General features: G+C 36.4%; 1 protein-coding gene across 14 annotated transcripts in view; it reads left to right on the plus strand.

Moving 5' to 3' along the window:
- Positions 1 to 24,172, plus strand: part of PARP8 (poly(ADP-ribose) polymerase family member 8) — a 180,589-nt gene that overhangs the window by 96,534 nt on the left and 59,883 nt on the right. For 13 of the 14 annotated variants that reach the window (NM_001178055.2, XM_047417705.1, XM_011543631.4 and 10 more), the window contains 3 exons: positions 684 to 778; positions 15,605 to 15,665; positions 16,096 to 16,186. In NM_001178055.2, coding sequence (NP_001171526.1) covers positions 684 to 778; positions 15,605 to 15,665; positions 16,096 to 16,186 — 247 coding nt within the window. The remainder of the gene's footprint in view (positions 1 to 683; positions 779 to 15,604; positions 15,666 to 16,095; positions 16,187 to 24,172) is intronic. The other variant, XM_011543643.3, reaches the window with a different exon arrangement.

Below are 24,172 nucleotides of genomic sequence, written 5' to 3' on the forward strand. Positions count from 1 at the left end.
TGAGCAATTGATTTTAGGGTGTGGCTGTATAATATGTGGTTCTGTTTCTATAAACTCCTTGAGCAAATGTGCTTTATAAGTTGGATAGTATAATGGGAGGGCAATATGTTAAAGAAGGACGTTAAAGCCAAAATTATGTAAAAGAATGCAAGTAAATTTATTTATTCAGAATGAAAAATTAGCAATTTGTCAATCAAGCATGTGCAAGGCTACAGAGAGATGGATATAATAAAACGGGCTTTCCTCTCTCCAGGAATGTCTTTCTAGCAATAAGATAGTTTTCCCAACGAAATGATTCCTTTACCAGTATAACATTTTAACATTATGCAAAATCATTCCTGTTTGATTTTTGTTTACACAACTAATTCTTACAGAGGGGAAGTAACTGCTTTTCTTCAGTCTTGATGTTCATTCTAGAAGTTTTTTAGATTATCTGCCAGACATTTACTTCACTAGTTTTTTACATTTGCTTTTTCTTTGTATTAATATAAACTAACTTTAAGTTCCAACCATAATCAATTTTTCTAGTCATATGTGAACCTAAGGATATTAGTGAATATATTACTTTATTGAAGCTAAAAATGCCCATGGCAAAATGCACAGGGAGACCTGTCTCAAAAGGTTGCTTAAGTTTTTGATTCTGTTCACTTCTGAGACACTTTTAAATTATCCCTTTTCATCAGGTGAACTATGATGGGGAACTGCACAAGCACCCACAACTGGAAGCTGATTTGTCAGCAGTTAGAGAGATATATGGGCCACATGCAGTTTCTCTCAGGTAAATAAGTATCACTGGTGAATAAAATTAAAGTTTTATGGTAAGTCATTGAAATTTACTTTTGGAGTAATTTAAAGGAAAAATTTGGGGTTTTAATTGTATTTTAAAGTGTTTTAGAAAGAGTCTACTGTTTATCCTTACACAAAATGACATATTTATGGCTATTTTTTTGATACATGTGGTTTAAGATTACATTGATTGCATTAAAAATTATTTTGGAGAGTTAGTTTGAAGACATATCAATCTTAAGTAGTGTCATAATTAATTCCTAGAATAGATTTGGCCAGCTGGGCCCATGCTGTTATCATAAATCATGGCCACATGCTTGTGAAGGATAAAAGTAAATGATGCCTACCCACTGGTATCCAAATTACATTGTCATCTGGTCCCTAAAAAAAAAAAAAGTGTAACTTTGCACAGTACTTGTTTGAATGATCATGTATTTTATTCTGTAGTTACCTAATATATTATTTGGTGATAAATTTACACATCATTTTTATTGCTTTTAATACTTCAGAAGACCCCACCATCCTTACTTTTCTTTTTTCTCCTTAATGTAAGAAAAAGCTTTTTCTGCCACCATAATAGTTTCCAGGAGTCAGCTCTGGTTATTTCAGATTTCCATTCTTTGCCTACACTGTAGTCTTGAAGTCTCCATGGAATTCCAGACCCCTTTCGTAGCCTGACCTCAGTCTGGCCCCTTTATGCTCCCAGACTACCCAGATATGTCATATTCCCGCTTCACGTTGGGCATTTGCATAAGCCGTTCTTTGATCAAGGAATGCGGCTCTTCAAATCCCACTGCTGTCTGTATTTAAGCCCCAGTCCATGGGTCAGCTTCTCTCTGAGCCTTCTTGGAATCTCCAGTGCAGATAAGTTACTCTGTTCTCTGGACTTCCATCACATTTGGCTCTTACCTTGTTTATTATTCGTCTCATGTCTTTTAATTATTTGGCTTACGTCTCCCCCTGTAGACTGAATTCAGTGAATGGTTGGGCAGTGCTTTTTCTTGTTCGTTTTGTTTTGGTTTGGTTTTTAATTCTTCATGTATTCTGGTACCATCATGGGACATGCATGAAATATAGGCTGCCGGCTTCCTGATTATTTTCAGTGGCACCATCTGAAAAAAGACATTCACATTATCTGGTTGTAACTTCTTCAATGGACATATGCATATTTTGAGAGGGCAAACAAGTAATTTCAATTGGGAAGTATGGCACAGCTGTAATTTATAATTGCCAAACATTTTATTTTAACTGCAGAAATAGAAACTCCCTACCATCTGCAGCCTAAGATAAACTGGGATTGTGTACCCAGGCTGTCTCTGTTCTATTCATGAAGGTATATTAGGCTACAATTGAGTGAAAGTGTTGGGATTATATTTGGAAAAGCAAGTCTTCTCTTTGCAGACTTCAAAGTTTTAGCAAATTAGCTGCAATAATTTTACATTGATCTCTGTTATGGCTCCAGATTAGGTAATATGCATATTTATAAGTGTTATAGAATGCATATATGAAGAAGGCAATTGGGACTATCAATACATAGTCCAAAACAATGGCTGTGTTTTTTTCTTTTTTTTTTTTTTAACAGTAATTGAACTTTGCTTGAAAGCTTAAAACTTTAATTTTAAGCACAATAATCTACATCTCGATATACACCAAAATATGTCTATGGGATATAACAATCATAATACAACATAGACTTCAACTTCTTTTTTTTTGAAATATATATTTTGGTTGCTGGGCGCGGTGGCTCATGCCTGTAATCCTAGCACTTTGGGAGGCCGAGGAGGGCAGATCCCCTGAGGTTGGGAGTTTGAGACCAGCCTGCCCAACATGGAGAAACCCCATCTCTACTAACAATACAAAATTAGCCGGGCATGGTGACAGGTGCCGGTAAACCCAGCTACTCGAGAAGGCTGAGGCAGAAGAATCGCTTGAACTCAGGGGGCGGAGGTTGCAGTGAGCTGAGATCGTGGCATTGCACTCCAGCCTGGGCAACAAGAGCGAAACTCCGTCTCAAAAAAAAAAAGAAAGAAATATTTTTGTTTAGTGGACAACTTTAGCACATGTTTATTTCTTTTATAGTTAAATATTTTTCTAAAACATCTTTCCATGCTGTCTAGGCCCCAGTCATATTGCCATGTATAGATGAAGGTCTTTTTTTGTTCCTTCACCAAGCATTTGTTAAGTACCTATGATGGTCTGTATCAGTATTTTCTATTATTAATTAAGTTAGTGATAATTGTTAGCTGCTGAAATTAGATTAAAAAATGTTTGGAAATTCAGTCAAATGAAGTATCTAAAGTCATATCAGTGTTTTGAATTTTTTCCCCTTAACCCTTTTCACTTGTAATAGTTTTGATCCAGTTTAAATCTTAATGAATGTAAGCCATGTTCCTGCCTGCTCTAGATTTTCTCTAGCTGTAGAGGATATTTCCAAAATAAATATCTTCCTAGAGTCTTCATGGTACAAAGGTGAATCACAGCAGGACTAGTTTGATTTACTTAAATGGGAATGAATTTACTGTCTAGTTTCAAATACTTAGGCTTGGATTCAAGGGAAAAGAGGTGGGTAGTTAGGCAGAAGGTCTTGAAATCATCTTCCTTGCAAAGTTCTAAGTCTGTTGAAAACAGACTGTTCTAATTAGCTGTTCTTTTACCTAATTGGGGCTTACAAGAACTTAATGAAGTTTGAAGAGCAAAAGTAACTCAATATGCACAACAGGCTATTAGGAGTAATTTTTTTTTTTAAAGCAACGTCTAATGAGAAAGGCAGCTAACCACATCTAAGTTCTCTGTAAGAGATGGAAGTAACTGAGATTGCCTAGGCAAAATCCTGAGATTATTGAGGCAAAATCCTCTTAAAGAAGGCTGAAAGAAGGTGTAGAAAAAGTGAGTGATGATAGATATATTACTTAAGTAGGTAATGACAATTCTACCTCACCATTCTATCCAAAAGCCTACTACTGGCTGTTGAATCATACATGTAAACATTGATGATAATTCTGATTTATAGTCTTTTGTATAGGAAGTGAGTTAGGTCTTGGGGCAACATGAACTTTGCGATCAGTCTGAATAAGTCTCATCTTGAATCATTCAACAAAACGCATTTTATGTTTTTCATTGTAAATGTACCTCCCTATATATTTATGAAAATAAAATTGATCAGTGTCATTGGAAAATAAATTGAAATTAGTATTTTTAGAAAGGGAATTACAGATCAGAAAATTCATATTTGTTTAGGAAAGAAATGATTCTGATAGTTTCTTTGTGAAATTTAAAACTTCCATTTAATATAAAATATTCTTTACCTTATTATCATGCCATCTTTCATTTAGAAAATTTAAGTCATATGAGTAATAGTCTAACCTTTTTATTGTGACTAATGCTTAATGTAGGCTGGAAGCTTCTAAAATTGTGACTGTTCTATTGTGACTGTTCTATTGTGAATAGTCAACTGTTGTGACTATTTCGATCACTTTTTGTGCACAGACAATTGTAATTGGGCCTTTTGAGGGTAACGTTTGGGAAACGAGCATTCTGAGAATTTGGGGTGGCTTAAGGAACGTATATCACGTTACTCATACCCACCAAACATGTATCTCCTTTAAAAAACAAAAATGGTAAATGAAAGGAAAGAAAAAAAATGCATACCTCAGAATGCACTGCTTTACATTCTCTGGATTTCTGAATTCTCATTTGTAGTGGCCAGTAGGACTGCTTACATATCTTCTGGTTCTCCTGTTCTGGTCTTATGGTAGGATTGTATTTCCTTTCACTCTTTAGTGTTAGGCATGGATATATCACTAATTTTGGCCAGTCATATGTGAGCTAAGTGCTAGTGTGTTAGTTCCCATGTCCCCTCAGCTCTGCTTCCTTGGGCCCCTTAGTGACGACAGTGAGCTGCCCCTCCCTAACCCCCAATTCTATATTAACAATAAGGTAGGAGTGAGATAGAAATCTTTTTTCGTTTTGAGCCACTGAGATTTTAAGAATGCTTATTACCACAACATACCTCAGCCTACATAGATGTATATCATTCATCAAAAAAAGATCTTGGATTGAATATTTTGTAATCTCCTTTCTAGCATATTGAGTCTTCATCCTCTGCCTCCAAGCCAAAGAATAAAAACAGTCTGACTCTGAAAATCAGGGAAGTGATGACAGGAGGCACAGAGGGGAAAGAAAGGAGAGAGCATTTTCCCAAACCACGGGGACATAATCTAGATGTAAGCTTCAGGTGCTCAGATCCTAGACACTAACCACTACTCCCAACGCAAGGGCTTTCTCCTAGCAAAACTGAAGATTTTTAAGCTGACTGCAGAGTTGTAGCAGTTGTTTATACTGTACCTCTTATGCACAGTTTTACATGAGCTTCCTTTCTTATCTGGATCTAATTTTTAAATTTTTCTCAGCCCTGTTGTTCTTTAGAGAAATTTATAGCTACCTTGGATGCAGTCTTGCAAATGCTTTAATCTGCCAGAATTTCTTCCTGACTACTGAGTTTGCATATTTCTTGGCCCATTCACAAACATCTCTCCCACGCTGGGCAAAAACCACACATTGAGTAGGCATGCAGAGATAGACATGCAAGCTGTTGAGTTTCAGATGACATGGGAAGGTGTATGTATCTTCACAAAATATCTGTCTTCTCAAAATATAACCATCCAGTTGTTGAAAGAAGAAATAAACAAGTAGCAATAGAGGCTTACTTCCTAGGAACATGTGGTAGAGTTGCATGCATGCACGTATGTGTATATACATATATGTGTGTGTGTGTGTGTGTGTGTTCCCTGACAGTTAATAAGACAAGGCTAGATATCTGAAATATATTTTCATAACCAACACAATGACTGCTGATTTTGATCAGGTTTCATTATAAAACATCATAACAGTGTAATGAATAAGCTGAAGTTTTATAGACAAAGGAGGACCAACATAGATGCTCCAACATTTAATATATTGTAAGTGTGTATGTGAGTGTCTCACGAGTGAGGATATTGTCTTGAGTAGTTCCATTAAAAATAGGAGAACAAATTGCTAAGAATTCTAACACAGTGGCTCAAAGTCCATATTCATTGAAAAAAAAAACTTTATACATATATGCTTAAATGAACTAAGTCACATTTAAATATCCAAAATCAAATTACCAGATTTCAAGAAATGTAGATTAAAAGAGTAGCTCACCCTGAATTTAATATGTCACTACATGTCGGGAAAGAACATTTGTGGAGGCATTCTTTTCAGACCAGAATGAAGCAATTTCGTTAGATCATTTCTGTATTGTTTCCCTCATATTAAAAAAATTTGAATTCATCAATTTGATGTGATCTTTTCACAGTGAATAAATATAGGCAGCACATGAAATTATTTTGAGTTATTATATACCGAATACTGCATTCAGGACACAATCAGATGTCTAGCTTCACAATTCAAGTTGTAGTCATATTTCAAGCATTCAACTTGATTCTGCATTTGCTATTCATGAGATCCTGGGCCACTGAAAGTTATTCAGATATAGAAGCAATCCTGATGACTGGGTCGCTGCATCTGGACAAACTGTAATCACGCTTTGTAATCTCTCAGTGGGAAATATGAAATTACTGGCATTATATAAAAAGGGCATCACAACGGAAATGGGTTTGCATATACACAGCGTCATTTGTGAATTCTTTGAAATCTGGCATACAAAGAAAAAAGTATAACTATTTATAGATCTACACCTGCAGAATCCAGTTAATTGCAAACCTTTAGGCCTCTGCCTCCTTAAAATTCTTTATTCATGTTCTGCTATGTTGAAGAAGAGGAACACTTGCAACCCTTCATTTCCTTTTTTTGGAGTGTTAGAAATTGGGAAGATACTTTTAACCAAAAGGTCATTTAAGACATCATATACAAAATACTTAGAAATTCACATGTAAGAGGTTTTAAAAGCATATATGCACGTTCTGATTATTCCTTTATGGTAAATTCTGTTGAAGTAATCTGAAAAACTATTTATGGGGAAAACAGTTGTAGATAAGGGTCGTACTGATTTTTTTTTTTAATCTTCCTGCCTGTAAACGTACCAGCGTTTTGCCAATGTAAATAAGTTCAAAAGAAAAAAAAAAGTTGTTTCCCTCCCATAAAATTGGCAAAGATGGGAGAAAAAAAATGTCTGATGATGATGAGAATGTAGGAAAAGGTCATTGTGATAACCTGGCTGGTGTAATTATAAGTTGTTGTAACCATTTAAAAAGTAACTAAACAACATACATCAAGAATCCCAAATATGGTTATAATGTTTATTTAACCCAGTAATTCAAGAAGTGATTCTATGAGAAGACAGATGCACATAGATTTTTTTTATCCAGTTGCTGTTTACCAATATTTATAGTGTAAACAAAAAAGGAATTGTGTTGTATTTATATATATTATAAAATTATGCATTATATTATATAAAATATAATGCAATATGGGAAAAACAGCTGATGATAGAAGAAGTGAAAGAACAGAACCACAATCTTTATATATTACACTGTATAAATCTTGTATACATGGAAGAGACTGGAATGAGATAAGCAAAAAGAATCATCTCCATATTGTGATAAGACAGATTATTTTTGTGCATTTTAAAATTTCCCACATTTTATATAATGAGCCTGTATTACCTTTTTAATCAGAAAAAGTAGGCATATGTTTTTAGAAAATACATAACATTTTTCATAAAATAAGTTTTACACACAATTTAGAGTTGATATATAAGTACTGTTTTTACTCTTGATTTTCCTGTTTCTATTTTCTTAAAAATATCATTTTAGCTTCCGTGCTTTTTTGGTAATCTGCTTATCAGTATATTTGCAACATTTCCCCCAGGATATGAATATTTTTGTATCGACTCCTTCACTAATGGGTAATTTTTTCTCCTATCAACATGCTATAGTTTACTTAACTATTTCCTTATTATTCTATATCTATTTTCTCAATTTCTGTTCTTACCCACATGGCTGTAGATAAGACTTTGAATATATTTGTTATTATTTTCTTAGGATTAACTTCTGTGAGCAAAGTGTGGTTGTAGACAGGGCCCCTTCACACTCCTGAAACTTTACTTGAACATCATTCATCATCTTTCCTCATCATTCAGTTTAGTGGCTCTTTCTTTTTACATGCCTCACGATTTTATTTATTAAATATTTGCCAGTGTTCAGGGTCATTCAAATTATGACCATTGGGCTGTGAGGTTTGTTTTGAACAGATCTGTGAACTACAAATGGTTTTGCTTTTTAAAAGGGTTGGAGAAAGAAAAGAGAGAAAGAGAGAGAGAGAGCAAGAGAGAAGAAAAGAAGGAAAGAAGGAAAAAAGAAAGAGAAAGAAAAAGAAAGGAAGGAAGGAAGGAAGGAGGGAGGGAGGGAGTAAGGAAGGGAGAAAGAGGAAAGAAAGAAAAGAAAGAAATAACGAAAGAAAGCAAGCAAAGAAAGAAAGGAGAGAGAAAGAAAACGAAGGAAAGAAAGAGAAAGAAAAGAAAAGATGGATGCGGCAGAGACTGTATGTAGCCTGAAAATCCTAAAATATTTACTCTCTTTACCTTCACAGAAAATGTTTGTGGTACCCTGAACTAGAGGCAGAGATGAAAGTGTTCATTTGCTTGGCCCTTATTCTTGTCATACTTTCTGTATACTTTCATACCGAAATTTGCACATAATCTTATCCTTTAAGATTAATGTTTATCATGTAGTACAGACATTATAGATGCTTTGATGGTTTTTAAAAATTAATTCCTATGTAAATATTTATTCATTTATTTATGTAACCTATAAAAATATTACCATGAATAAAAAGTGCAATTTCCTTAAAAATGGAAATGTGCTCTCTCTCTCTATATATATATATACACACACACATATATATACACATATATATAATATATATATATTCATTTATTTATTTTTTGAGATAGAGTTTTGCTCTTGTTGCCCAAGCTGGAGTGCAATGGCACGATCTTGGCTCACTGCAACCTCCACCTCCTGGGTTCAAGCAGTTCTCCTTTGTCAGCCTCCTGAGTAGCTGAGACTACAGGCATTTGCCACCACGCCTGGCTAATTTTGTATTTTCAGTAGAGACGGGGTTTCACCATGTTGGTCAGGCTGGTCTCAAACTCCTGACCTCAAGTGATCCACCCACCTCGGCCTCCCAAAGTGCTGGGATTACAGGCGTGAGCCACTGCGCCCAACCAATGTTTTAATATATTTTTAAGGAGAGGACAGAGAAAGCACACAGGCTACCTTATATTTGGATATGCTGACATTATTTTGGTCATAGATATCAAAAAGCAAACAAATCTCCCACATTCCTTTTCTTATTAAATTACATAAAACCATTTAATCAGTACAAATTTCTTCTCTGAACCCTATAAAAGGGATTATATTCTATTACTTGAATAGTCGATAGAAATTTTTATTTAGTGCCAGATACTGTGCTTTACACAATTTTTAAAATTTTATTTTTAATTGACACATAATAATTGTGCAGATTTGTGGTTTACAGTGTGATGTTTCAATACATATATACATTGTGTACTGGTCAAATGATGGTGTTTAGCATATCCACCACCACAAACATTGATCTTTTTTGTGGTGAGAACATCAAGAATCCTTTCTTCTGGTTAATTTGAAATATATATCATACTAGTGTTTACCATAGTCATTCTACTGTGCTATAACTTATTTCTCCTACTGAACTGTGATTTTGTACCCATTGACCAGTTTCTCCTCCTCATCATCTTTCCCTTTATGCTTCCCAACCTCTGGTAATCTACTCTGTACTACAATGAGATCAGCTTTTTTTAGATTCTGCAAATGACTTACATCACGCAGTGTTTGTCTTTCTTTTCCTGGCTTACTTTACTTAAGACTGTGTCCTCCAGGTTTATCCATGTTGCTGCAAATGACAGGATTTCCTTCATTTTTTTATGGCAGAGCAGTATTTTATTGTGTGTATGTACCACATTTCATTATCCATTCATCTGTTAATGGACACTTAGGTTAATTCTGCATCTTGGCTGTTGTGAATAGTGTTGCAATATACATGGGGGCACAGATATCTCTTGGACAGACTGATTTCATTTCCTTTGGTTAAATGTCCAATCATGGAACTGCTGGGCCACATGGTGGTTCTATTTTTAATTATTTGAGGAACCTTCATACATTTTCCATAATGGCTATACCAATTTACATTCCCACCAGCAGTGCAAAAGGATTCCCTTTTCTCCACATCCACATCAGCATTTGTTATTTTTTAATCTTTTTGCTAACAGCCATTCTAATTGGAGTGAAGTGATATCTCACTGTGGTTTTGATTTGCATTGCCCTGATGATTAGTGATGTTGAACATTTTTTCATGTACCTGTTGGCCATTTGTATGTCTTTTGAGAAATGCACATTCGGGTCTTTTGCCTTTTATTTTTATTTTTATTTTTATTTTTATTTTTGAGACAAGAGTCTTACTCTGTCACCCAGGCTGGAGTGCAGTAGTGCCATCTTGGCTCACTGCAACCTCTGCCGACTGGGTTCAAGCGATTATCATGCCTCAGCCTCCTGAGTAGCTGGGGCTACAGGCGTGTGCCACCACACCTGGCTAATTTTTTTGAATTTTTATTAGAGACAGGGTTTCGCCATGTTGGCTGGGCTGGTCTCGAACTCCTGACCCAGTAGATCTGCCCAGCTTGGCCTCCCAAAATGCTGGGATTACAGGCATGAGCCACCACACCTGGACTTTTGCCCCTTTTAAAGTCAGATTATTTGTTTGTTTGTTTGTTTGTCTTTGTTCTTGAACTGTTTGAGTTCCTTATATATTCTTGATATAAACCCCTTGTGAGATGCATGGCTTGCAGTTATATTTTCACCCATTCTGTAGGTTGTCTCTTCACTATGTTGATTGTTTCCTTTTTAGTTTGATGTAATCCCATTTGTCCATTTTTGCTTTTGTTATTAGTGCTTTTGAATTCTTATTCAAGAAATCCATGGCCAGACAAATGCCATGAAGCATTTCCCCTATGTTTTCTTCCAGTAATTTTATATTTTTGGGTCTTACATTTAAATCTTTAATCCACTTTAAGTTGATTTTTGTATATGAAGATAGGGATCTAGTTTCATTTTTTTGCATGTGCATGGACAGTTTTCCCAGCACCATTTATTGAAGAGACTGCTCTTTCCTCAAGGTGTGTTCTTGGAGCCTTTGTTGAAAATCAGTTGGTTGTAAGTGTATGGATGTATTTCTGTGTTCTCTATTCTGTTTCGTTGGTCTACATGTCTATTTTTATGCTGGTCCCATGCTGTTTTGGTTACTATAGCTTTGTAAGGTAGTTTGATGTCTCCAGCTTTGTTCTTTTTGCTCAGTGCCTTGGCTATTTGGGGTCTTTTGTGCTTTCATGTGAATTTTAGAATTCTTTTTCTATTCCTGTAAAGGATGTCATTGATATTTTGACAGGGGTTGCATTGAATCTGTAGGTTGCTTTGGCTGGAGTATGGATGTTTTAATAATATTCTTCCATCCATAAACAAGCAATTATCTTTTCATTTTTTGTGTCCTGATGAACTTATTTCATTAATTTTTTTTTTTTTTTTTTAGTATTTATTGATCATTCTTGGGTGTTTCTTGGAGAGGGGGATGTGGCAGGGTCATAGGATAATAATGGAGAGAAGGTCAGCAGATAAACACGTGGACAAAGGTCTCTGGTTTTCCTAGGCAGAGGTCCCTGCGGCCTTCCACAGTGTTTGTGTCCCTGGGTACTTGAGATTAGGGAGTGGTGATGACTCTTAATGAGCATGCTGCCTTCAAGCATCTGTTTAACAAAGCACATCTTGCACTGCCCTTAATGCATTTAACCCTGAGTTGACACAGCACATGTTTCAGAGAGCAAGGGGTTGGGGGTAAGGTTATAGATTAACAGCATCCCAAGGCAGAAGAATTTTTCTTAGTACAGAACAAAATGGAGTCTCGTATGTCTACTTCTTTCTACACAGACACGGTAACAATCTGATCTCTCTTCCTTTTCCCCACATTTCCTCCTTTTCTTTTCGACAAAACCACCATCGTCATCATGGCCCGTTCTCGATGGTCACTGTCTCTTCGGAGCTGTTGGGTACACCTGCAGAAAGGCTGTCACTTCACACTTGGAAGATTGCACAGCGGCCAGGCAGAGGCGCTCCTCACTTCCCAGCCAAGGCGGCCGGGCAGAGGCGCTCCTCACTTCCCAGACGGGGCGGCCGGGCAGAGGCGCTCCTCACTTCCCAGACGGGGTGGCCGGGCAGAGGCGCTCCTCATTTCCCAGATGATGGGCGGCCGGGCAGAGGCGCTCCTCACCTCCCAGACAGGGCGGCCGGGCAGAGGCGCTCCTCACTTCCCAGACGGGGCGGCTGGGCAGAGGCGCTCCTCACTTCCCAGACAGGGCGGCCGGGCAGAGGCGCTCCTTACTTCCCAGACGGGGCGGTGGGGCAGAGGCACTCCTCATTTCCGGGGCAGAGGCGCTCCTCACTTCCCAGACGGGGCGGCCGGGCAGAGGCGCTCCTCACTTCCCAGACGAGGCGGCCGGGCAGAGGCGCTCCTCACTTCCTAGATGGGGTGGTGGCCAGGCAGAGACGCTCCTCACATCCCAGACGATGGGCGGCCGGGCAGAGGTGCTCCCCACTTCCCAGATGGGGCGGCTGGGCAGAGGCGCTCCCCACTTCCCAGACGGGGCGGCCGGCCAGAGGCGCTCTTCACATCCCAGATGATGGGCGGCCAGGCAGAGACGCTCCTCACTTCCTAGATGGGGTGGCAGCTGGGCAGAGGCGCTCCTCACTTCCCAGATGGGGCGGCCTGGCAGAGGGGCTCCTCACATCCCAGACGATGGGCGGCCAGGCAGAGACACTCCTCACTTCCTAGACAGGGTGGCAGCCGGGCAGAGGCTGTAATCTTAGCACTTTGGGAGGCCAAGCAGGTGGCTGGGAGGTGGAGGTTGTAGTGAGCCGAGATCACGCCACTGCACTCCAGCCTGGGCAACATTGAGCATTGAGTGAGTGAGACTCCATCTGCAATCCCAGCACTTCGGGAGGCCGAGGTGGGCAGATCACTCGAGGTCAGGAGCTGGAGACCAGCCCGGCCAACACGGTGAAACCCCGTCTCCACCAAAAATACAAAAACCAGTCAAGCGTGGCGGCGCGTGCCTGTGATCCCAGGCACTCGGCAGGCTGAGGCAGGAGAATCACGGGAGCCCGAGGCAGGGAGGTTGCGGCGAGCCGAGATCAAGGCAGTACGGTCCAACCTCGGCAACAGAGGGAAACCGTGGAAAGAGAGAGAAGAGAGAATAGAGGGACAATTTTTTATTTTTTATTGTAGAAATCTTTCACCTCCTTGGTTTAATTTATTCCTATGTATTTTATTTTTCATAGCTGTTGTAAATAGGATTTGTTTTTTCATTTATTTTTCAGATAGTTCATTATTGGTGTACAGAAACTACTGATTTTTATGTGTGTTGATTTTGTATCCTGCAATTTTACTAAATTTGTTTATTAGTTTTACAGTTTTTTTGGTGGAGCCTTTAGAGTTTTTTATATATACGATCATGTCATCCACAAACAGGAACAATTTGACGTCCTCTTTTTTAATTGGATATCCTTTATTTCTTTCTCTTGCCTGATTGCTCTGGCTAGGACATCCAGTACTGGGTTGAATAAGAGTGGTGAAGGTGGGCATCCTTGTCTTGTTCCCATATTTTAGAGGAAAAGCATTGAGTTTTTTCTTATTCAATGTGATGTCAGCTGTAGGTTTGTAAATTTGGCCTCTATTGTGTTATGTTCCTTCTATAGCTAATTTGTTGAGAGTTTTCATCATGAAGTGATGTTGAATTTTATCAAATGCTTTTTGTCTGTTGAAAAGATCATAACATTTTCTTCATGATTCTGTTAATGTGATGTATCACGTTTATTGATTTGCATATGTTGAATCATCTTGCACTCTCTAGGATGAATCCTACTTGCTCATCATGGTGTATGATTTTTTTAACGTGCTATTGAATTCAGTTTGCTAGTATTTTGTTGAGGATATTTGCATCTGGTTCATCAGGAATATTGGCTTGTAGTTTTCTTTTTGTTGTTGTTTCCTTGTCTGGTTTTGGTATCAGGGTAGTGCTGGCCTCATAAAACAGGTTTGGAAGAATTCCTTCCTCTTCAGATTTTTAGAATAGTTTGAAAATAGTTTGCAAAGCACAGATGTTATGATGCTTTGATGGTCTTTAAAAAGGAATACCTATGCAAATCATTTTTATCCCTTTATGTAACATTTAAAGATATTACCATGAAAGAATAAGAGTGTAATTTCATAAAAGTTGAAAATGTGCTCAATGTTTTAATGTATTTTTAAAGGAGAGAATGGAGAAAGCACAGAGGCTACTTTATATTCTAATATGCTTTGGTTTTTGGTCATTTATATTAGAAAGAAAAAGATCCCCTAGATTCCTTTATTCATTAAATCACATAAAATTTTTCAATCATTAAAAGTTTCTTCTCTGAACTCTATAAAAGTGCCACAATTATGTATTATAATTCTATTACTTGAATACATAATAGACATAAATTTTTAGTGAGTACTTAACTATATGCCAGATACCATACTTGACACAGTTTTAGAGTTGGACATATATTCAATTCCTGACTTCCCCACTAACTTATTTTTCATTTGGCAACTTTTTTCACATCTTTAAATCTTAGTTTTCTCATCTGCAAAATGAATGTCGTAATATTATCCACCTCACAAGGCTGTGATGAGGACCTAATGAGATCATCCATTAATGCTTGACCTGGTTTCCAACACAAAGTGCTAGTTTCTTGAATATTAACTAAAATACATGTATTCAAGTCTCAGCTCTGCTATAGAGTGATGATTGATAAGTTACTTTGTACTCTGGGCCTCAATTTATGCATCTGTAAAGCGGAGATGGCAGTAGTACCTTAGGTGTTTTGTGAGTACTGTATTAAATTATCACATGTATGTAAGATCTTTAGAACAATTTCTGGCACATCAGTGCTGAGTAAATATTGGTCATTAACTTTTATCATTTCAGTTATTTCTGTGGTTTTTATCTCTCACTATGCATAGCATTTGTAACTTCAGAATTTTATAAGAATATCAAAAATACAGATGTGTTATATATGGAGAATATTCAAACTTGTTTTTATATTCTTTCATTCGCTTAAGAAGTATGTTGGTTCGTGGCAGTACCTGTGCTGTACAAAAGTTGGTCCTCATAATTCCTTCCTGTAGAATATACTACAGTTCCTTTTTTTTTTTAATATCAGACTTTTAGAGCTGCCCATCAAAACACTGACATTTAAGTGGCAGAACACTTGGATTGGTTTCTGAACCACTGATGCCTAACTAGAAGGAAAAATTATGGGTGCATTATTGTGTGTCTTCCCTATACTCCTTCCTCATGTCATCAACTCCTTTCTTGTCTTCAGAAGCAGCTCCTTATCCTCAGAGTGCTGTGAAAACAAAGCAGTCATATGGGAAGATTGACTAATTTGCCACAGAAAACGGAATATTTAAAACTATGAACCAAGCAACTCTTGATTTTATATATGCATGTGCGTGTACAAGACAATAGAAAGATATCAATGTGGTATAAACAGAAAAATGACAGTCCAACTAGATTATTAGTTATTTCATATCCACAGTTAGATGTGAGCTATTTGTCAAAATCAAGGATGAGAATTAGTGATTTAAAATTTTAAATAAAATAACCTAACACACACCATCTTTTAAGCATCATTAAAATGAAAAAAACAGTGTTAATTTTTGCTTTCAGGGAATATGGAGCCATTGATGATGTAGATATTGATCTGCATATCGATGTTAGCTTTCTTGATGTAAGTATCAATTTTATGTAATATGAATGGTGCATTTAAAATACATTTTATTTTATTTTTGGGGGAAATTTAATTTTCAGTTTTGTCTTATAATACTATTAGTTACATATTGACTGTTAAGGTGCTTTGTGAAGAATTGCTGTGACTTGTCAAAGAAGCAGCGATTTTGTAAACATATATTTGCATTGGTTTTTCTAATGGTCTCTGAAATTTATGGGCTTTTACAATACTTCGTTATATTTTAAGTATTCATTTTTAGTTCTCATACATAGAAGGCCAATATTTTCACAAAACAGTGGGTTTTGAGATAACTTATAGGCCTTCATGTTATATGCATTTTGCGAACACAAGTTTTAAAAGTTTGTGTGTTTTTTTTTTCATTTTGAACTCTAAAAGATGATTAATTCATCTTTTAAATATATTTGTGCAGGAGGAGATTGCTGTGGCTTGGGAAGTAATTCGAACAGAACCTATAATTGTTCGACTACACTGTTCACTTACACAGTATTTAAATGGCCCAGGTTAGTTTTATTTCTTTATTTATTATTTTGAATATTAATTAGCTGTGCACTATGCCTTAAGCAAAATGCGTGTTCATTTGTCAGTTCTGAGCAAAAGTGCTAAATATCTTGATAATGGTATTTAAAGAAGCTTGCAGTCTAAGAAAGATGGTTTATTGCCAATATAACTTATGGAAACAGAAACGTAAGATTTCATTTTATAGATTTTCAGAAACTGACAAGTTTCTGAGACACAAACATTTAAAAAACCCAAAAGAGTACTTTGCATGTAGTAGAAACTCAGTAAATATATATATTTTGGGTTTTCCTTAGATATAATTATTTCTGTCTTTGATTCTGAGATTCAATTTTAATGCAATATAAATTCTGTCTTTGAACATGGAGATTATAATAGTGTATTTGTTTGCTGAATCTTTAAGCGACAATGTTGCTATTTTATTTCAACTGATAGCTGTTTACAACAAAGGACCCTATCATAAGTCTTGCCAAAATTTACTTGGTAAAATGTTTTTTCCTACCTACTACCACACATACACACACATACACACACACACACATGCATGCACACACACGCATGCACACACACACAATTGTATCTACTTATATTGTTCCAGTTATCTAGTGTTACATTTAAAAAAAAATCCTAAAACTTAGTGGCTTAAAAAAACTTCTCTCTCACTATTCTTTGGGCACTTCTTGCTTGCAGTCTCCCATGATTTGCAGTTATGTGTGGGTGGGGCTGGGGCCAAATCAAGGCCTCACTGGGTTGGATACACACAATGCTGGACGTTCAAATGGCTAGCAGTTGATGCAGGTGTCATCTAGGGACTCACCTGAGGCTTTTGGCTAGAGTGCCTGTCCGACACATAGCTTCTTCATGTGGTTTGGACTTCTTGTACCATGGTGACTGGGATGCAAATGCAAGTGTTGGAAGAGACAGGATGTAGAAGCTACTGGGAAAAGACATAGTGAGTCTTTCATTGTATTCTGTTGATCACAGCAGTTGAAGAGCCCACCCAGAATCAAGGGACAGGAACATAGACAGCACCTTGTGAAATCATGGGCATCTTTAATCTGACACACATGTTACTATGATGTCTGCATGTTTTTCCTTTAGGCATATCAGGGAATATACATCTACTGTTTGTTTTCACATAGGAAACATACTTGTTCTTTCAAATTTATAAAATACAGGAAAATCTTTCATTTTTAAAGTTAGTCACTTGTTTTCTGTCTTTGCATAATACATTCTATTTAAATTAATGCATAATATAAATTACATATTCTAACTGATTTAATGCTGGACAAGAAAAAATAAATGTTTAAAATATTTTTATTCTGATAATTTCAGATATATAAATATGTAATAAGAAAAGGAATTTCTCATAATTCTTGTAATGAGAAAGCTAAATGGCTTGGTGTTGTTTCTGTTTTCTATGTGCATATGAATTTATTTTTATAAAGTTGACAATGAATTTTATAAATAGCTATGCACCTTAATGTTAAGTCATGAGGCTGTCTTCAAGTCATTAAATAAGCCATAAGGGAATGATTTGTAATGTATGGAGAATATTTCAGCCCATAGTTGTATGTGTTCTTGCTCCTTCCCCACATATTCTGCCATATGGCTAACTTTTTTCTTATTTTAGTGATTTGAAATATACTAATTTGATTTTATTTTAATGGTGGTTAAAAGAAAAGGAAGTCCTTATGTCTGAACTTTGTTTAGGGTTAGGAATGAAATTGGGCTGGTTAATCTCTACTCACCCAAACCCCATCTGTATAAGATGATACTGAAGCATGCTTTTATGTAATCTTACCTCTGATACTTATTTTTTGATATAATCTTGAATGTAAGGGAGATATTTTCCTTCACAATATCTCTTTAAAGATTTTTTACATTTGCGTGGTTTTATAAATATTTTAACACTCATTTTAACTCATGGTTAGATTATTTTAATGTTCAGTACAACTCCTTTAGTGTCACAACTCATCTGCTCTTTCTTTCATCTGTATTGGTTGATTCATATATTTTACAATTTGGAAACCAAGGAAACCTGAGGGTTATGTTTTCTTTTTTCATACCTGATAATGACTTTTTGTTTTGTGAATGAGACAAACTTGTCCAAGTAAAATTAGCAAGGTCATGATAGTTTTCCTCCTACGAAAAGCAAAAATGCTTTAGAAACTTCTCATTTTGTGCCTGAAGTATTTTAACTTTTTTTATTTGCAAGGAATCTGTTTTGATTTGTTTGTGTTTTGTTGTGTACTTTTTGGACTGTTTTTTTCTTCTTCTCCTTGATACTATTTTTTCTGTATTTATTTCTGCATGATATACCTGAGTCTTAATTCACCTCAAGTACATTTTATGTAATTATTTATTATTCCTTCTTTACCTGCTAATCCCAATATGCTGGTTGGATCTAACTCTTTTGTCCTCCATGTTTTTCATTTCTCTAATTCTTTCATCCTTCATATCTGAAAACTTTATATGTTTTTTCCAATCTGTCTTCTGCTCCACTGAGTGAATTTTTTTCGTGATTTCATCTTAAATTTAATGTTCCCATTATATTTTTAATTTGGCCACATTCTTTACTGATTCCGTATTATTCCCTCTTTATCACCAGTCGCTTTTGTTTTATTTGTTTAGTGTCGTTTTGAATTTTGTTGTGAATATCAATCAGTAATTGTCAAAGATTTATTATTTTATTCCTATAGATGGAGTTTTGTTTTCTTCAATATTATATACAGGCAAGAGTTGAAATTGTTCTTCTTTTGGAAATTAGTGTGATGTGTGAACAGTTCTCCCATTAAGAAGAGGAAAGAAAGAGAATTCCACACTGACCCTACTTTAGAGTCGGCAGCTCTGAGATCTGCCCACTGGAGGGGAGGGCTGTGAGCTCTGCTGGTGCCCTACCCTGTTCCCCTGGGTCCCCTTTCCCAGCTCTTGCTCCCATCCCCATTTCTGCACCCTTGGCTGCTAACAGCTCCACTTGAGACCCTCAGTAGCTTGTCCTTAGACAAATAAGCTTTCTTTTTCCTGGGGAGTGCAGATAAGTACTTGGCAGTTTTTTTAATCTTCCCTTCACTCTTCAGGTGTCACTAGTGTGAAGGTACAGTGGCCTAGCTACTCTGTTTCAGGTCTGTACAAATTCTAAGTTGTAATGCATGCTCCAGTTTTACCTACAAGATGGGGTGGAAACTAGAACTTTCCCTGGATTTGTACCCTTGCTTGGCTTTTTCTCTTTTCCTATCTACCCTCGTCTCACTTGTTCTTATTGCTTCCTCCTGAGAACAATTCCGAATACATTATTTGCCCCTTGTCTGCACTCAGGGTCTGCTTCTGAGAGAACTTGACCTAAAGATGGTGGGTCTGGGGTCAAGAAGAAGGCAGCATCTGCTGAGGGAGGAAGCCCTGCCAGACCAATCCGGAGTGTCCTCTCTGCCTTAGGGTTCATTTGCTCCCTATTTTGAGAGGCACCAGCAGTGGTTGACTTTTATTATAGCATCTATCTCTTTCATAGAATGGAGACTTTTGCATCCATCCTGTAGGGCCCCTTAAGATTGATTCCATCTGCTCTGTTTGTGCAAAATTTGCTGGGCATTTCTCACATGGGGATGGCATTACTCCAAGTTTCTGGTCTTTTCACTGGTTTTCTCCTATTTCTGTTAGGTACTGGTTATGATTGTGTTTGTGCAAAAGTATTCACTCACATTACCATCTTACTAGTAAACTCCCCAAGAGATTTTTTTTCTTATTGAAAATTTGAGGAAAATATGATTGAAAATGTGCAGTAATGTATAATATATGAATAGAACTGGAGACAGTGTTACTAAAAAGGAACCTTTAACTTATTATTCCAGGAGAATAATTAGGTTTTATTCTAGCTTATGATTAGGATTATTGCTAGCAAATAAAAAAGAAAATATTTATGAAGAGTGTTTGTGCTATGCCCATAATGCCTCTGCCTGTCACAGAATACCATTATTTCAGTTTCCATCTGTAAAGAAGTTACCACCTTATTAAGGTTAAGCAGATGAACTGCCCAATCTCAGTATCCCATTTTACGGTGTGTTGCCTGGGACCACTCCTAATATTTGATACTACATCAGTTAGAATCCAATCAGAAAACAAACCACTCTAGTATCTCAGGTAAAAAAAATAAACATAAGGCATTAGTTAATCCAGTGGCTAAAAAGTTGGGAAGAAAAACAGGATGGTGAGGCTCATCAGAGAGTGGTAGGAGGAGACCACTAGGGAAGATGACCGCAAGAGATCACTACAGTCCCTTGGGGCTGGAATGACACGGGAAAGGGATGGTATGCAGCAGAATCCAAATATCAGGGAAATCTTACAGGTTCTAGAACCATGTCAGGAGTTGCTCTGTAGGAGTTAGGGCCACAGAAATAGGACATGTCTGGTAAAGAGCTGCAACCATGGAGAAGATATGGCAACTGCTAAAAAGTGCCCACACAAGACAGAGAGGAGAGGAGAAGGAAAGAGAGATAAGGGAATAGGAGGGAAAAGAGAGAAGAGGGAAGGGGAGACAGGGAAGGGAGATGGGGTAGAAGGGAGGAGAGAAGAAGGGAAATAATACCTTGATTCTCTTTCTCTTTCTCTTCCTCAAGTCCAACCAGCGCTTCCATTAGTCAAACCTAACCGGAAGGTAGTTGGCAAGGGACCTGTGGAAATGCAGCCTAAAGGTGGAAGAATGAGGAATGGACTTGAGAGCAAACAAAACACAATGGCCTATGTGTATATCCTTGTCAAATGCATAGTGCTGTTAGACATTTTTTGATTTACATAAATGCTATCGTGCTATAGATTTTATTCTCTTAACCACTTCTGTTGCTAAGATAGCAACAGAATTGTTGGCCCTGTTGCTCTATGTACACTAATATATACTATAGTATAGATCCACTACAATTTACATATTTGCTTTCTTAGTGATGGCCACCTACATTGTGTTCAGATCCCTGATGCCATAATCAGTGCTGCAAAGAATGCCCTTAAATAACTTATTTTATGGACTTTATGACAGTCAACTTATGAAGAATGGAATTTTTATGGGTTGGTCTAATCTGAGCTGAGAGCACATACTCATCTTCATCATTTCAATTGCGTGGCTCTACTTATTAGAATTTCTCCAAATATCTGTTAACCATTTAGAATTTTCCTTCTCTGTGTTGCTTTGTCAAACCTTTATTTTTCTAATGTGTTTCCTGTCTTTGAATTTTATTATTGTTTATCTTACAAATCCCTTTAGTATGTTAGCTGTTGATAGCTAGTGGGTTCAATTCATGCAAAAGTCTTTTACAGTGATATTTACAAAAAGTTGATATTTTATGTTTTTTATGAAAACTTTTTGAAATAACAATTCAGTGATTTAAAAAATCGGTGATTTAAAAAGAGTGTTTGCAATGTGTCTTTGGAAGGTATCAGCATTTATAGTAAAATGAAGTTGCAAAAAATGTATGGCTAATTCAAGATTTAGACTGACCTACTTAACAGTTCTTTTTGAAAAGGATTTCCTACATTTTGGAAATGTATAAATAACAGTTATTTAAACATCAATATTTGGCTACAGCTAATCTGACAGTATATCTGTGAGAGAACAGAAATGATACGAATTGAAGACATATACCTCCTTATCCACTTTGAAACTAAAGATAAGGATTATTTGTATTATATATGGGGAAATATGCTTTAAATAAAGATATGATATAATTTGTCTCTTTTATGATAATGTATATTTTCTGGAATTACTGATATAGAGATGCAGTTTTTCATCTCAAGGACAAAGCTGTTTCTAGTTGAAAATGATAAACAACTAACCTTACTTTAAAATGATTTCTGTGCATATCATCTCATTATTGGTACCTCTGTGCTTGCATGATCAGTGCATTAGAATAATTTCCACATATCTTGGGCAGCCCTCACTTCCCAACTGCAGTTATATGAGAGATAAGAAAGCATTGAATAACTTTGACCTTTTTTAAGAACATGAAAATATATCACTAGTACTTTCTGTCAAGTTCTTAACTTTTCTTATAAAAGAACATTTGTTTGTAGTTTCTAGTTTTATGTATCAGTACAGTTCTGGGGATTTTTGTTGTTGTTGTTTTTTGTTTGCTTTTTTTGCTTAGGTCACTAATTTTAGCTATATTTATTCCTGAGTACTTATTTGCATAATTAGACTTTTGTAGTTCATTTTATTTTCTAACTCATTATTATCAAGAAAGTATTAATTTTTTAAAACATTGTTAAAAATGAACTTAAAAAGTTTTAAATTTACAGAAAAATTGCAGCTAGTACAGAGGTCCCATACACTCCAAACCCCTGTTTCTCTGTTTATTAACATCTTTCATTAATACATTGAATATAATTAATTACATTTATTTTAATAATAATATGTGTTTTAGAACTTGAATTTTGGAATATTTTATGAATTACAAATTGCGAATTTTGGAAATTTTAGAATTTTGTGAACTCTTAGTATATTCCAAAATTATAGGTCATTTAGATTTTATGCTATTGAGTCAATGTTTGAAATTTATGTTTTTCTAGAAAATTTATTTTGATAAATATTAACACTTTCTAGTCATGCATAGTATGATTAAGTTTTGGTCTTTGTATTATTAATTTATAGGAATAATTTCTATGTTCTGGATAAACATTTGTGTCTAGTGTTATATAACCCTTCTTTCTCTCTTTCTACATATGTATCATACGCAGTTTTCTCCGGTAAAGGCATTAGTTCTAGTGCATTTCGGATTTTTCTACATTTTTGTAGCTAGATCTCTTTTGTTTCTCTGCCCTCATCTTCCCACTTTTTCTGTCTGCCTCTGAAGAGACTGTATCTTCTTAAATCTTCTTAGAGAAAATACAGTGCTTTCTCATTTAATTCCACTGAGGTTTTCAAGATGTTAGAATGTTCTTATTCACTTTTGAATTTTGATAGCCATGGGTTTAGGATAAGTGGGATTGGAGTGATGTTTACTCTATACCTTACTCTTTGTACAAGGATTAGGGAGTTCTTAGGAAACGAACTAATTTTTTGGGGATACAAACACCCAATTTCCTTGATTGATGGAGCATTTGTGTCCCAGAGTAGTGGCCAACAGGGGATACCATTTGGCTTACAATATAGAGCATGTGTGATCTGAGAAGGTCCTATGAGCAACACAATCTTTGCTCTAATTATCTGCTGCCCCACCTGTTGCTGTGAATGGCACTATCTAAGCTCTTATATGTCATCTTTTCATTTGCACACTAGTCTCTGTTCGCTTTCACCTAATTAGGACACCATCCCAGCAATTCAGTTCTCCTCCTCCTCCTTCTTGTACTATTCATTTCTCTTTTTCTCTTAGAAGATTCACATCAGCAAATATTTCTCTTGTCTTAAAAAAATAAAATAAAAACCCTCTTGACCTCAAATGCCTCTTCAGTTTGGACCCTAACACTCTGCTTCTTTTGACTGTTAATTTCCTTGATTAGAGTTGTCTCTATTAGCTTACTTCATTTTCTTTTTTCTTTTCTCTCTTTGAATCCACTCAAGTCAGGTTTTGGTCCCATCATTTCTCAAACACTGCTCTTGTCAATGTCATCAGTAACTTCATTCTTGCCAAATGACTCATAACCTATTTGGGTTTTCATCTTAATTAAGTTAGCAGTATTTCATAACAGTTGTTTACCTCCTCCTTGAAAATCTTTTTTTTTTCTTTTTTTTTTCAGATAGGTTCTTGCTCTGTTTCCCAGGCTGTAGTAGAGTGGCATTATCACAGCTCACTGCACCCTCAACCTCCCAGGTTCAGGTGATCCTCCCACCTCAGCCTCCTAAGTAGCTGGGACTATAGGCATATGCCACCATGCCTGGCTAATTTTTTTTTTTTTTTAAATAGAGATGGAGTCTCTCTATGTTTCCAAGACTGGTCTTGAACTCCTGGGCTCAAGCAATTCACCTGCCTGAGCCTCCCAAAGTATTG

This window comes from Homo sapiens, chromosome 5 (genome assembly GCF_000001405.40).
Source record: "Homo sapiens chromosome 5, GRCh38.p14 Primary Assembly".
NCBI classification, from domain to species: Eukaryota; Metazoa; Chordata; class Mammalia; order Primates; family Hominidae; genus Homo; species Homo sapiens.